The sequence below is a fragment of the Homo sapiens genome, chromosome 18 (assembly GCF_000001405.40).
Source record: "Homo sapiens chromosome 18, GRCh38.p14 Primary Assembly".
NCBI lineage: Eukaryota > Metazoa > Chordata > Mammalia > Primates > Hominidae > Homo > Homo sapiens.
The window spans coordinates 10,872,000-10,888,930 of NC_000018.10; the positions used below are offsets into that span (position 1 = coordinate 10,872,000).

The 16,931-nt window shown below is 39.7% G+C and overlaps 1 protein-coding gene across 11 annotated transcripts in view, besides 1 other annotated feature; it reads right to left on the reverse strand.

Annotated features, from left to right (window-relative positions):
* Positions 1-16,931, reverse strand: part of PIEZO2 (piezo type mechanosensitive ion channel component 2) — a 479,323-nt gene that overhangs the window by 201,753 nt on the left and 260,639 nt on the right. The window lies entirely within an intron of this gene.
* Positions 6,703-6,932: an enhancer, noted in NCBI's record as "active region_13085". NCBI's record gives its function as "activates an Ori minimal core promoter by ATAC-STARR-seq in GM12878 lymphoblastoid cells {active_cell/tissue: GM12878}" and the evidence as "EXISTENCE:reporter gene assay evidence [ECO:0000049][PMID:35858748]".

Sequence of the window (16,931 nt, forward strand, 5' to 3'; positions counted from 1 at the left end):
TTGCATCCTGCTGGGGGCTTCTCACAGCCATCTGTTCTGCTGTGCTGAGGAAGTAATACTATTTGCCTTCCTTATTTTGTTCAAGTGACATGAGATACTAGGTCACGGTTTTAGAAGAAAATATAAATACATATACATGAAATAATGTTCGTGAAAGTTCTTTGTAAAGAATGAAACACATATTTTCACTAAGCCTACATTTTGAGAAGAGCAGCATCAATTGACACTTAGATAATTTTCACACATATAGGGCATTTTTGTTATAATTGAGATCCTGAAACAAATATATTTAATAATATAGCAGGCAGCAAAGGCCAGAAGGTGAAGTGGAGAGTAGAAAGGGCTTCAACTGGAAAAGGAGGAGAGATCTGTCTGGGAAGGTAATACAAACGCCATCTGTGATTTTGGGAGGCGTCCAGTGGTAATGAATATGGGAATGAGAGGCAGTATACTGAGTTGCCAGCATAGTTGGCCAGCACACATCACCTCAGCTGAAATGTGTTCTGGCTAAGCTCACTCTGCTGCAAGACACCAGAGCTTAATAGGCACTGGCAGACTTCTCACACCATTCAGCACACGACACGGGCCAGCCATGTCCCTCATCCGGTGCTAGATGCCTGCCCTGTGTGCCTTTGCAACACTGAGCAACTGGGCTTGCAGTGCTCTAGTGATGTGTAGTGCTGTAACCACAGTACCTATTACTATTATTAAAGCCACATGAAGAGCGATTCCCGGCATGTTCTCTGCTCACTCATATAATATAAAATAAGCTGTAACAAGAAAAAGCTAATGAAATGACTAGGTGATATGAAGAAAAAGTTATACAGACTTAGGTTTACAAAATGAGTTTAAAATAGGGAGGATACAGGTAGAGGAGTCAAGAGTCTGTACCAGCATTAAAACTTCTGGGGAAGATAAGATGATCCATGGAAAAATCAAGCATAGAACTTCAAAGGAGGGTTAAGTCTTTGAAAAAATGTTTATCAGAGATACAACTTACTTAGGGAAAGGAAGCAAAAGATAGGGCAATATACCATGTAAATACATACACACATATATACATATTCATATGCACTTTAAGTGATTACACACTGTATTCGTTTACATTATATATTATATATTTTGGTGAAAATATTTAAAAATATTAAATAGCAAGAACCTTGGCATCTAGAAATAGCTACTGTTAATATTTTGGAAAATAAAAGTTATCAATAATACCTACCATTTTCTGAGCAGTTACTTCGTGCTAAGAGCTTTAGACACATTATTAATTAATCCAACCAACCATCATATTGAGTTAGGCATTATTATCCTTTTACACGTGAAAAGACTAAGGCTTCAAAAGGCAATCTAACTTCCCAAAAGCCACATAGAGAACAGAATTATACTCCATTCTCCCTACGTTCACTTTTATGCTTTCAACCGCTTTCCCATGTATGTATCCACATGGCCTTCCTTTCCAATCTTCCTTCTATACATGGATGTGCACATTTATACTTAACAAAACTAAGTTCATTATTTACCTACTGTTTGCAAGCTGATTTGTTCATTTAACATGTCATTAACATTTTTACAACTCATTGATGATTTATTTTTATATATCATCATACTAATGGACAGACGGTATTTAACTAGTCAACTACTGTTATAAATAGAATGTTTCCACGTATTTGTTACTATAATATACATAAAAATTAAAACTTAATTAAAGAGTCTTCTAATCTAGGATCTCCTAGGAATCAATCTTCAATCTAATCAGATTTGCTTTAAAAAATGGTCTAGCCTGAAACTATGACACTACTAGAAGAAAACATGAAAACTGCTAGAAGAAAACTATAAAACTACTAGAAGAAAATATGAAACTACTAGAAAAAAACACTGTGGAAACATTTCAGAACATTAGTCTGGACAAAGATTTTTTTGGGTAAGACCTCAAAAGCACAGGCAACAAAAGCAAAAGTAGACAAATGGGATTATATCAAGCTAAAGAGTTTCTGCCCAGCAAAGGAAATAATCAACAGAGTGGAAAGACAACCTAGATAATTGGAAAAAATATTTGCAAACTATCCAGCTGAAAGGAATTAATAATCGGAATATATAAGAAGCTGAAACAATCTAATAGTAAAAATAAACAACCAATTAAAAACAGGCAAATGACTGAAATAGACATTTCTCAAAAGAAGACATACAAATGGACAACAGCTTATGTAAAAAAATGCTCAGCATCACTCATCATCAAGGAAATGCAAATCAAAACCACAACGAGTTATCCTCTCACCCTAGTTAGAATGGTTATTATCAAAAAGACAAAAAAAAATGCTGACAAGGATGTGGAGAAAGGGGAACCCCTGTATACTGTTGGTGGAAATGTATAATAGTGTAGCTACTATAGAAAACAGCATGGAGGTTCCTCGAAAACTTAAAAATAGAACTACCATATGATCCAGCAATCCCACTGCTAGGTATATACTCAAAAGAAAGGAAATTAGTATATCTAAGAGATATCTGCACTTCTATATTTACTGCGGCACTATTCACAATAGTCAAGATATGGAATCAACTTGAGTGTCCATCAACACTCAAGAATCAGGGATCAAGAAAATATGCTGTATATACACAATGGAATATTATTCAGCCATAAAAAAGAATGAAATCCTGTAATTTGCAGCAACATGGAAGAAACTAGAGGTCATTATTTTAAGTGAAATAAGTCAGACACACAAAGACAATGTTCTCATTCATATGTCTGAGCTAAAAAAGTGGATCTCATAGAGGCAGAGAATACAGAGAGGTGGTAACCAAAGGCTGAGAAGGATGGCAGGAAGGGGGAGCGAGGAGTAGTTGGTTAATGAGAATAAAAATAGAGTTATATAAAAGGAATAAGTTCTAATGTTCAATAGCACAGTAGGATGACTATATTATTAATAATAGTTTATTATATATTTCAAAATAGCTAGAAGATTTAAAATATTCCCAACACAAAGAAATGGTAAATGTTTGAGGTGATGGATACCCCAATTACCCTGATTTGATCACTTTATATTGTATGAATGTATCCAATATCACATGTACCCCAAAATATGTACAATTATTACAAATCAACTTAAAAAATGATCTGGAAGAGGAACTGTCCTGTGAAAGCTTAATTTTTACAAATCGCCTCTAAACTCTTACCCCATTTAAAAAAATGCTTGTGTTAAAGGTCTTAAAATACAGCAAATTCCTTTCATTTGGAGAAAGAGTAAGAAAATCCAATTAAGAGAGCTTCATCCAAACTACATTTATATTATAGTAATGAAATCTGATGAATGAATTCATCATAGGAAAATTGCAGAGATTCATTGTATACTTTTAAAGTCTACCTAACATGATTGAAAAGGGTAAACTAGAATTAATACCATTAGAATGAGAAAAAATGGGGATCAAGGAATGAGAAAAAATGGGGATCAAGAAAAGAGACCAGTAAGAAAAAAGGCCAGGCTTGGGTGGCTGTTTCGGTGTGGGGCTGAGGTCAGGAGTAGTAGTAGGTTGGTACTACTCAGGTGGATTTTTGGCAATCGATTATTATAGCTCTTTCATGGAAAACAAATTGACTGTGTCATTTTATGAAAAGCACCATCCAAGTACAGTCGAGAGAAAAAGACTTCTTATATTAAAGTAACAAGAACTCCAGCTGTGGCCTCAGCTGCTTCTTACACCACAACAGACAGAGCAGGAAAGCCAGAGCCTTATATCTTTCCCACCTGTGGATTGCATTAAGCCCCAATTTGCAAACATCACTTTGAGGCAACAGTCTCAGCTTTGTGCTTCTTGGTCCCAAAAGAGACATTTTATAACACACATATATTAAGGGAATAAATGAATGTAGTTTGCTAAAGCAATTACTCCACCTGCTGTGATAGAATTTAGCTACTGAATCCAGAATTGGGCTGCGACCCCTACTTAGAATGGAATCATTCAGCCATAGAGGTGCTAAACTATTAACTACTACTCTTGGCTTGCTGAGTTAACAAAGCAGTGCATTCATAATACTGCCATTGCAGAAACAATGATACTTTTGAAAAGTATGCACAATAAACAGGTCATAGTCTGACTGATATGTCATTTGGAGACCATCTTATCAATTGTGTTTCCTTCTTCAGTGCTTACTAAAGTACGTTCATCAGAATGCCAGTCCTCAGAAATGCATTCCATTAAAACAAAACAAAACAAGACAAAAGAGAAAAAAGAAACAGTCATTGGTCCAGTCAATGTGAGAAACTCACAATGCATACTATTATACTAAAAGACTTGAGAAGTTCTGTAGTAAAACAGTTACATTTATTTGACCTGGAAACCATTTCTTACCAGTTTCTTCTAAGACTATTACATGTGACAGAGCTAGTGTGCAAGGAGCAGCTTTTGGGAAGTGCTGGGCTACAGAATCTTCCTTGGTCTCTGTTTCTCTTTGAAATGAATGAATAATTTGGAAACTATACTAATGTACATAATTATACACCTACCTTCTCTATACATTTAGTTTTTAATAAGTCTTTAATAATTTGGAAGTCGGTAAATCTCATTTCATTCCCTCATCTAATCACCCAACTACCCATCCGTTCACTAAGTCAGTCATTGAAATTATGGAGCTGGATGAGAATTAGAAATAGTCTAGTCCATTTCCTCATCTTACAGAATGTGGAAACCAATGAGTTTTGAATGCCTGGTTCAAATACACAGTTGGAGACAGAGCCTGACAGCAAGCTCAGGCTTTTTACTTTCTCACTTTGTGTTTGGAGCCAACACTCACTACATGGGCTCCCCTTGCCCATCATCCACCTAATGCAACAGGCCTCCTCAACCCACCACTGCTCAGAAAATGCCCTCTCAGGGGCTGCCCCTGCTCTCCCAACTGCAAGGCCCAAGTGACCCATTCCAATTCTCATCACATTCCACCTCCATGCTGCATTTGACAAGCAAGACCAACCCCTTCTACTCCCAAATCTCCGTTCCCGTGGTTTTCTTACACTCTCTTCTAATTCTCTACCTACCTATGAATATCCATGAAAACTCATGTTGCTGGGAAGCCCCACTAAGAAATTCTGACTTGTATTGTAGCCACCAGACTCTTCTCTACGTCCTACTTAATTGTTGATGAGTCCACAAAATTCTGTTCTTCATTTATTTTTCTTCTCACTCTACAAGATCACCCTGGATGATATCCATCCCCAAGGCCCTAATCAGCATCCACATGGTGACTTATCCATTCATTTCAATCAGAATCACAGATCAATGAACATTTTCTAGCACACCATTTCCCAAAAGCTGTTTCATGAACACTAGCTCTTTAGAATGAAATAGTGTTAGATTAAATTTTTAAGAAATGGTTTTAAGGGCAAATAATGTAATGCCCAGTCCAACTCGTCCGCTGAGAAACATTAGCATATATCCATTTTCCTACTGGATATCTGTACTTCAGTATCCCATAGATTTTCCATTCAGTGTTATTCTTACTCCAAATTAGCTCTTCCTCCTATAGTCCTAATTTTGGAAAACACGGCTGTCATCAACCTAGTGACCAAAACAGAACCTGGAAGCTTCCATTCTCTCACTGAAAGACTGGAGGAGATTCTGACTTCTAACGTCTCCTTTCCCAGCCCTCCCCTTTATCCCCACAGCCCGGTCTGGCCTCTGGGTGACGGTAGCAGCATCCTGATGATTTCATCTCAGGTTGTCCCCTCTGCCAGCCAGGCCTCCACATTAATATCAGAGTTTAGTTTTTAGCAGCATAAAGCTGATCATGTCAACCCCACGGCCCCCAGGAAACATCCACATTCCTAAGCGTGACAAGGGGCCCTCCACATCCCAGATCTGGTTTCCCTTATCTCTTGCCATCATTTCCCTCTACCTCAAATTCCGGCCATACTGAATGCACGTACCCAGAACGCGCCAGTGTTTTCCCTCTGAGCAAGTGTGCAGTCTTCTCCCTTGGCCAACTTCTCCCAGTATGCTTCAGGTTCTCCTCATCTCTAAAAACACACCTGCCATGTCTCCTCTGTGAAGCCCTTCCTACCTTGCCCCTCCACACCCATTCCAGAATAGAATGGACCGCCATCCCTCCCACATCCTCCATCAGTAGATGTTTAACACTGTGTCACTCACTGATTTACCAATCTGCCTAACAGAAGCCCTTGCCTGTTTCATCTGTTTCCCTGGGGACCAGCATGGTAGATGGTGCAGTGTAAACCATCAGTAAAGGCTGGCTGGATGCATGCTAGCTCCAGGACATATCGCTGCCTCTTCAAATATTTGTTCTTTTCTTTTTATCATGATAGTTTGTGCAAAGCACTGTTGAAGAATTAGATGAGACACCTACCATAAAGAGCTCTGTAATTCAGCTCGGGGAAGATAATACACAAACACTAAGAGGAGGGAACATTACTGTTGCCTGGTAATGGCATTGAGATCACAGAGAGTTTACAAATAAAGTTTCAGTTATTTGCACATGCAGATTTCATTGTCAAAATTGGAAGCTATAACTCATTAAAACATATGTTCATAGTTATTAAATAAATGTGTTGGAGAAAATATTTCAAAAACAAAAGAAATGAAGTGTATCTAATGAACATTAAATGGCTCAATTTGACAGAATTTTTAATTCACTAATTCAAAAAAATTATTAAGCACTTACTATGTGCCAGACACTGTCTCTAAGCACAGAGTATTGGTTGTGAAGTTATATATGAAGGAAGTAAAGTCAGAAACACAGGGTAAGGTCAGACCATACAAAGCTTGGATGTTTTGAAAAAAAAAAAAAATCACATAACCAGAACTACAGAAAGACCTGAAGCAAAGGACAAACATGATCCCCAAGGAAATGAAGGCCACAGGAGAAACAGTGACGTGGCTGCTGGTAGTGCAGGTGGTGTTTTCACAATGAGTGTCAGGTGTGGTTAGGACTTTCAGGTGCAGAGGTGAGACTTTAAACTGAAAGCCACATGGAGTTTGTGCCTGGGAGCAAAGTCATGGCTGATGAGGTAGGTTCAAGAGTTTTCTTCTCACATGTGTTAGCTAAAGTCAAGAGAGTAAATTAGATTATCCAGGGACAGTGCATAGCATAAATATGTGTGTAAGGTTCTCTAACCTAATCATAAGTATACACTACAGGGCATTTAACAATAAATTAAATTTTATTTCAAGCCAATTCTGCACAGAATCAGGCTAACCAGGTTTTGTGTAGATGAAGTCCCATTTTAATAAATCAGTGAGACCAATGTGTCCATTTTCCCATAAAATGACCTAAGCTGCACTGTTTTCCAGGTGCATGACAATGACGTGTTTTACACGGAAGCACATACTAAACTACCTCAAACTTCATGTTCTCTCGAACAGGCAAAAGAGTCCTTTCCAATCTTTTTTTTTTTTTTTTTTTTTTGAGACGGAGTCTTGCGCTGTTGCCCAGGCTGGAGTGCAGTAGTGCGATCTCGGCTCACTGCAAGCTCCGCCTCCCGGGTTCATGCCATTCTGCTGCCTCAGCCTCCTGAGTAGCTAGGACTACAGGCACCCGCCACCACGCCTGGCTAATTTTTTGTATTTTTAGTATAGACGGGGTTTCATCATATTAGCCAGGATGGTCTCGATCTCCTGACCTCATGATCTGCCCGCCTCGGCCTCCCAAAGTGCTGGGATTACAGGCGTGAGCCACCGTGCCCAGCCTCCAATCTTGTTAGAGTCATACTGATCTTACTTGTTCAGACAGTGATTATACCCCTTGAAAGGAACTCAAGGAAGCTGAAATTTCTAAATAACTTACCTGTCCATAAAGAGGAGACTAGGCATTAAATTATGGCATATCCATCAAATCAAATACTACACAGCAATAAATAAGTACAAGTGCATGTGTGATCCAGGTCTACATCTGTGAATATGAGTGTATATCATAATGGTGAAAAAAATGAGAAATATGCAAAATATAGATTGCTTAGGGTTTCATGCATAAAAACTACTATAAAAATGACAAACACCTATTTCAGCGCAGGGGAGAGGGATACAATTAACGGTATTGGTAATGCTCAAGTTCTTAAGCTTGGTGAAAGCTGGTTGGTAGATACAAAAGTGTATCTTTAATACTTCAGACTGTTTTTAAAAGCTGCAACAGTCAGACTGCTTATATTTTCCTGTGTAGAACGAATATGAAAGATACTACACCAATTACTTTGACTGGGATAATGACCAATTGAGGCACTGATGGCCATGCCTGAATTTGGTCTGATAAATTTATTAATCAAATTCAATTGCCATTCTCCTGTCAAAGACCAGAGAAGAAGCAAGACAGGTGGATACTCATGGGAAGACTACTTTATTTTTCTAAGTTTCAATTTCTCACCTTACAAAGTGACTTCTTAGGATCTTTCCAACTCCAAAATTTCATTTCTACCATGAATACCCAAAATAAGGCAGCAATGAAATTTAGATGAGACCAGGAAAGAAGAAAAATGTTGGAGTATTGCTGTGAGGCATCCAGGTGAGAGGACCATCACAGTCATCTTCAGAAGTTCACAAAGAACAACTTTTGGGGGCAAATCAGAGTTGGTGGAAAGGTCACCTTCAACTGAATTACAACAACATGACTAAAATGTCAAATGAGCATTGTTTAAACAAATAGGAACTGTTAAGATGGTTCCCTAGTGGCTTCTGAAGTTCACACGCTGAGAGATAGTCTACTTTTGTTTGTCTTAAACTTAAATATGACTCTGATGCAGGTGTCTTTAGTCACTTGGCTTCAATAACTTTAAAGGCAGACAAATAGCAAAAACTCAATAAAATGGTAAGACCCCTGATTTCCATTTCAACTGCTTCCCACATATCATATATATATATATATATATATATATATATATATATATATATATATATATATATAATTTTGATATGAGAGAGAGACTATGTTTATTTAATATCTGACCTCATATAGCAAGTCATGTGTGTGGCAAGACTAATATATTTGGTGTAAATAGAGAAAGGTTTAGATTACAAACTCTGGAAGGAAATGTAACATTTATTGAGAATCACTTCCAATATTCAAATCAAGGGATTCCAAAGTTAATGACGCATTAGAGAAAACAAACAGTTAGCTTGTTTCTGTGAAATTAGGTACCTTTTTTTAAACCACAAAACAGTCATTAAACGCAGATATCTAATTACCTTAAGGTATGAATTGTTGCTGGATTTTCAGGAGATATATAGATATGTATGTATGTATGTATGTATGATGTATTTTACATTGGTGGCCGGATTTGTGTGAGTGCCACACGGATTGAGTATTTGAATCTACTAACCTCACTGTGAGAGTTGCTAATTTCCATTTGGAACACACAGTGCTTTATTCTCCTAAAAGGGTATACTGGTTATTTATGAGGCAGCAGGTCTGTTAAAAGAGTCCTAACTCCCTGGCCTTGGCGGAGGGCATTCACAGAGGTGAGAGTAGGATGCCGGGCCAAGGGGACCATCACTTACTTGCCTTTATGCACTCTGCTCCTCAGGAGTTTGCTGAAACTGCCTGGGACTGACTCTTCCCAATTCTGTGCTCCATGAAAGATTATTACTAGCTTAGAGTCTACCACAGTGGGAGCATCAGATCATGGAAATTGGTATAAATGCTGCAAATCAGTATTTTTTTCCCTAGAGAGCCAGTTGTTAAACATTTACCAACACACAACTGCTGCTATTGAACGACTACAACAAACAAAAGAATTGAATAACAACAACAAAAAACTCCAAAACAATAAAACTCACTCCTTTTGTCCTGTGACTCTCTTAGATAAGTCATTAAAAATACCCCAAAACCTAGAGCGCCAAATCCAAAGTCCTCCCTCAGCCTGGTGATCAGCCCCACGACAGTACTCTTTTTTTTGCCATCTTCAATCTCACTTCTTGCTGATTCTAAACTGACACTCTTTCTTCCAGGCTCCTCATCATCCCAGGACAGTGACAGAGTCATTCCAACATCCAGATCTCTGCTGATGCAGTTTCTATCACTTTGAATTTTCACCCGCCTCTTTTACACGTATCCTAATCAAAACTAATGTGTGCCTTCTTAACTTGTTGAGGGCAATATTTAGGTACGGACAAGGTCATACACAGTATCCACTCGTCTCTCATCCTGTCACCTTCTCCAGGCATCCGAGAGCTCCCCATGTGTTTACTTGGCTGATTCCGTGACCATGGCAGGACTATCGCCAGGAGAAGGCCACAGTGGCCTCTCTTGATCCTGAAATCCCCTCAGAAATACTTTCTTATTGCTTAAGAAAAATAATGACAAAAATTCAGTGACCCAAGGCCTTTCTCCAGTTACCCCCGGCCCAACTTGAGAGAACTGTTCTGCCTCTTCTTGCATTTGACTTCTGCCTTCCTTTCTAGTTTCAAATCTTTTAATCTCAACTAGTAATATTTCAAAAACAACATTTGGGAATTGACAAATTGTATTTAGTAAGGACATTAAAAATCTAATATATTAACTTCGTTTTATACAATTACATTCAAACATATGAAATACAGGAAGCATGTTATCAGAAAGACAATTCTTTCTTTTTTATGCAAAGGTTTTCATTTAAAACATTTTTTCCCATCATCTCCTCCTTCTCCTTTCCTCCCTGGCCTCTGGTAACCACCAATCTACTCTATTTTTATGAGATCCATTATTTTAGCTCCCACATATGAATGAGGACATGGGATGGTTGTCTTTCTGTGCATGGCTTGTTTCATTTAACATAATCACCTCCAATTCTATCCTGACAAGATTTCACTATTTTTTCATGGCTAAATAACATTCCATTGTGCATATGTACCACATTTTCTTTTTTTCTTTTTTTTTTTTTTTGAGATGGAGTCTTGCCCTGTCACCAGGCTGGAGTGCAGTGGTGCGATCTCAGCTCACTGCAACCACCACCTCCTGGGTCCAAGCGATTCTCCTGCCTCAGCTTCCTGAGTAGCTGGAACAACAGGTGCCTGCCACCACCTCCAGCTAATTTTTATATTTTTGGTAGAGACATGGTTTCACCATGTTGGCCAGGATGGTCTCGATCTCCTGACCTTGTGATCCGCCCAACTCAGCCTCCCAAAGAGCTGAGATTACAGGCGTGAGCCACTGCACCAGGCCTATGTACCACATTTTCTTTATCCATTTATCTGTTGATGGACACAGGTTGATTCTATATCTTGGCTATTGTATATAGTGCTGAAATAAACAAGGGAGTATAAATATCTCCTTGACACACAAATTTCCTTTCTCTTGGGTATATATACCCAGCAATGGGATTGCTGGGTCTCATGGTAGTTCTGTTTTTAGTTTTTGAGGAAGTCCATACTGTTCTCCATAATGGCTGCACTAATCTACATTCCCACCAAGAGTGTACAAGGGTTTCCTTTTCTCCATATGCTCACCAGCACCTCTTGTTGCTATTGTTACTGTTATTCTTGAACTTACAAATAAAAACTATAGATATTTATTACGTAGCTAGGCATACGTTAGATATACATATATAACTATACATTAGAGAAATACATTATGGAATTATGAAATCAAGTGAGTCAACACAGACATCATCTCACATACTTATCTTCTTTTCATGGGAAGGACACTTAAAATCTACTCTCTAAGCAATTTCCAAGAATACAATACATTAGTAACTAGAGTCACCATGATGTACACTAGAGGTCTTGAACTTATTCTTCCTGGTGTACCTGAAATTTGGCATCATTTGACCAACATCTCTCCAATCCTCCCCACCTCAGCCCTTGGTAAGTATCAGTTTACCCTGTTTCTATGAGTCCTACTTCTTTTTTTTTTTTGAGACAGAGTCTCAATCTGTCGCCTAGGCTGGAGTGCAGTGGCACGATCTTGGCTCACTGCAAACTCCCCCTCCCAGGTTCATGCTATTCTCCTGCCTCAGCCTCCCGAGTAGCTGGGACTACAGGTGCCCGCCACCATGCCTGGCTAATTTTTTTGTATTTTTAGTAGATACGGGGTTTCACTGTGTTAGCCAGGATGGTCTTGATCTCCTGACCTTGTGATCCACCCACCTCGGCCTCCCAAAGTGCTGGGATTACAGGCGTAAGCCACCGCAACTGGCCTATGAGTCCTACTTCTTTAGATTTTCCATTTACATGTAATCGTGATGATGTGATATTTGTCTTTCTACGCCTGGCTTATCTAATGTCCTCTAGATTAATCCAGTTGTCGCAAATGAGAGGATTTCCTTCCTTTTATGGCTGAATAATATTCCATTGAGTATTTATTCCACATTTTCTTTATTCATCCATTGATGGACACAGGTTGATTTCCTGTTTTGGCTATTGTGATTAGTGCTGCTATGCATTTGTCTTTTTCTTACTTACTTTCTGTGTGTTTGCTAGGGATATTCCGTCCTCCTCCAACCCTAGTTATTCTTATAGCTTATTGTTTGGAGTCCTCAAATCCTTTATGTATGACAAAGGGGAAAATTCCACCATAACAGGCACAAAAACAGAGCCACACCACATGGCTCACATCCTGAAATGGCTTGCCTTCCAAGTGAGAAGCAAAGCACTGGCCACATTGCCTGGCTAGTGAGCTGCCTGCTTCGTGGAGGTGGGGTATAAGGACACCATTAACGACTAGCAGAAATCTCCGTCCTTCTACCACACTGGCAGTGAACACAGTGCATCACATCAGATGTCCCCCCTGCTGGAATTAGTGCATCGAATAACTTAAGAAAAATGAACTAAAATTAATTTTACTAAAAGAAGATAAGATACACAGTGGGTGGCTCCAACAGAGTAGCACATTTATCCTCTTTATAAACACTGGGTCAGGAGAAAAAAGCAAGAATCTTTGTATGTCACTACTAGAAGATAACAAGGAAGAGCGAAAACAGCATGAACTTTGGACTTAAAGACCACAAACTGGACCCATTCCTTCTCATTTATTTCCACAAATATGTGTGAGCGTCTATCATATCATAGACATTTTGCCAAGCCCTAGGCTGACAGTGCTGAGAAAGCCAGTGTGCTTTGTATAGGCCTGTGTATCTTAGGAGAGGCTGATATGGAAGAAAATACATTCCCGAAAAACAGATGAATGCAACACCACACGTGTGTGGCAAGCTCAGCATAAAGAGGGAATAAAGCCGGGCGTGGTGGCTCACGCCTGTAATCCCAGCACTTTGGGAGGCCGAGGCGGGCGGATCATGAGCTCAGGAGATCGAGACCATCCTGGCTAACATGGTGAAACCCTGTCTCTACTAAAAATACAAAAAATTAGCTGGGCGTGGTGGCAGGTGCCTGTAGTCCTAGCTACTCAGGAGGCTGAGGCAGGAGAATGGCATGAACCCGGGAGGTGGAGCTTGCAGTGAGCCGAGATTGAGCAACTGCACTCCAGCCTGGACGACAGAGCGAGACTCTGTCTCAAAAACAAATCAATAAATAAAAAGGGAATAAAACACTGTATTTGTCAAGGAGGTGATAGGAACAGTTCCCTCAGTTGGTGAAGTATGTGGTGGGGTTTGAAGGCAGTCTGAAACAACATGATGTGTCCATGGGATTATAAGCAAAATGATTTTGTTGTCATCTAGAAATGAGAACGAATGGTAGGAGGGAGGTTTGAAAGGTACCACGGTCAGGGTCATTGGGAACCTTGACTGTTTTCCTAAGTGTTTGGAGAGGTATTGGGGAACATTTATAAGTCACTCTCTTGTTATGTGAACATAAGGCAAGTTATTTCGCTTCTCGCTTTCCTGAATTACAAAGTGAAAAAACATAATGCATCCCTCCTAAGAATTTGAGAGTAAACCAAGCTATTTGCTCTGCTCATAAATGGCCTGCTAGAAGAATTTCAGATGACTAGCAGAAGCTGGGCTTGGGAGTGGTCAGGGCTGTGGGCGTGGATTAAAAATGAGCCAGGGTTTGTTCCTATTCAAGTCAAGTACATAGGTTTAGAAGCAAGGAGGAAACAAAATGTCAAGTGCAAAGAATCAAGAAGAAAATAAAGCCAGAATCCGAAGAAAACCTCACGCAAAAGAGAATGTGTAAATAGGACAAGCAGTTTTGGAGATGGATAAAAAGACAAAATCACTAACACACACACACACAAAGTGTGGTGAACCAAGCAAGTGGAAGCTCAGTCCATATTCAGGAAGTGTGTGCTGATGGTGTTTTGTGCATTTGTGCATTTTGCGCATTTGTGTCAGATAAGTAAAGACAAGACAACTGCAGTGTGTGTGCAGTATCCACCCTCATCCTGGGATGAGACATTTCAAGAACCCCAGTGGATGCTTGAAACTGCAGATGGTACCAAACCCTATACATACATATATATATATATATATATACACACACACACACACACATATATATGTGTGTGTGTGTATATATATATATATATATATATATATATATATATATATATATGTAATCTCCAGCATTGGGGATTACAATTCAACATGAGATTTGGGTGGGGACAAATATCCAAACCATATATATATACGCATATACACATTATATATATATGATGTTTCTCCTATACATATATGCCTATGATACAGGTTAATTTATAAATTAGGCACAGTGAGAGATTAACAATAACTAATAATAAATTACAGTAATTATAATATTATACCATGATAAAATTTATGTGAATGTGATCTCTCTTTCTTTTTCTCAAAATATCTTATTGTGCTGTGCTCACCTATTTTCAGACCACAGTTGACCATAAGTAACTGAAACCATGGAAAGTGAAATGGCTGATCAGGGGGAACTACTGTACTTTCCCCAAATAAGGACCTTCTAATAAATTATCACTGTATTAGGCCTTTCTTGTCTTGCTATAAAGGAATACCTGAGATTTAATAATTTGTAAAGAAAAGAAGTTTAATTGGCTCACGGTTCTGAAGGCTTTACAGGAACCACGGTGCTGGCATTTGCTTGGTGTCTAGGGAGTCCTCAGAAAGTTTTCAATCGTGGCAGAAGGTAAAAGGGGAAACAGGCACATCACAGGCCCAGAGCAGGAGCAAGAGAGACGGAGAGTTGTGGGAGAGTGGGGAGGTGACACACTTTTTTTTTTTTTTTTTTTTTTGAGACAGAGTCTCGCTGTGTTGACCAGACTGGAGTGCAGTGGTGGAATCTCGGCTCACTGCAACCTCCGCCTCCTGGGTTCAAGCGATCCTCCTGCCTCAGTCTCCTGATTAGCTGGGACTACAGGTGTGCACTAGCACACCTGGCTAATTTTTTGTATTTTTAGTAGAGACAGGATTTCACCTTGTTAGCCACAATGGTCTCAATCTCCTGACCTCGTGATCCGCCCACCTCAGCCTCCCAAAGTTCTGGGATTACAGGAGTGAGCCACCGCTCCTGGCCGACACACATTTTTAAATGACCAGATCTACTGAGAACTTGCTATCACAAAGACAGCACCAAGCCACGGAGAGATCCAGCCCTATGACCCAAACACCTCCCACCAGGCTCCACCTCCAGCATTGGGGATTACAATTCAACATGAGATTTGGGTGGGGACAAATACCCAAACCATATCAACCACCATACAATCTTCCCAAACAGGAAACCAGCATTGACACAACACTGCCATCCAATGTGCAGTCCATTCACATTTTGCCACACATACTCACAGCATTTTGTACTTGTTTGTGCCTGGGATCCCATTGGGAAGCATGTGTTGCATTCAGTTTTTTGTGTCTCACTAGTCTCCTTCATTCTGGGACAACTCCTCAGTCTTTCTTTGTCTTTCATGCCTTTGACAATCTGAATGAGTACCGTCTTTCATTATGGAGGATGATCCTCAACCTGGCTCATGAATTCTTGCAAAACATACACAGACATGGTGCTGTACTGCTCTCAGTTCAACACACTGGGAGGCACAAGTCCCCAGCTCATCCCACCGTGATCACCTAGTCGAATTGGCGTGCACCAGCTTTGTCTGCTGGGTCATCATGTTTACTTTGTATGTGATTTGAACTTTGTAAGGATATATTCTGAAATTGCATCAATGTCCTCTGCCTTATCAAGCTTCCACCCACCAACTTTAGCAGACATTAATGACTCCTGCCTGTATTAACTGTCATGATGGCTGCCTAATGGTGGTCATTGATGCCCCTAAATATGAATTGGTATTTGGCTGCAAGTAAGCACTTGCAAGTAAGCACTTCCTCTTACCTCCAATAAATCAATTTCTTAGCTAAGTAATATCAGTGTGGATGCATGAACTTCTCTTTTATTAGATAGACTGTATTTGAAACTACAATTCTGATGCTGAAATTGCCCCTGAGTTGTGAGGGCCCCTCCACGCTGGCTCCTGGGAAATGTCCTTGTCATTCACTGTGCATTCTTCTACTTTCTGACACAGTAAGGTTTTTAGGCCTGTCTTCTACTTTCTCTGCTCCAAGCCTTTCTACTCTCTGGGCTCCATTCCTTCAGAAAGCCCTATTTTCTTTTTGTGCACCCTGGTATTCAGAGCTGGGCACTTGGAGTAGCATTGTTACGGGGGCGACATTGCTTCTGGGTCCTCTTATTTGACAGAGTCCTTTGCATATATTTCCACACACACGCATATGCCTTTACAACTATTTCCATATCTTCTTGTGTATCTGTGTTTTTAAAACCCACGTGTTCATTCTGGTACTTTCAACTTGAGTTTAACTGCTCAGGATTCTTTCTAGCCTCTGCTTTGTAAATCTTTGCTCTGATAGTGACAAACATGGCTCCCATTATCCTTAATATATTTAGTTAAGTTCCCCATCAGTGATTTGTTTAATGTAACTAATTCCCAATCCATAGCAACTGCCACATCCAGCTGTCACTTCTGCAACCCCCGAGACAGAGCCACTTTCTCATACAGGGTACACTTCCACCAACACCTCCATGCAACCCCTCTCCCTCAACAACCCAGTTTTTCAGAAACCTAG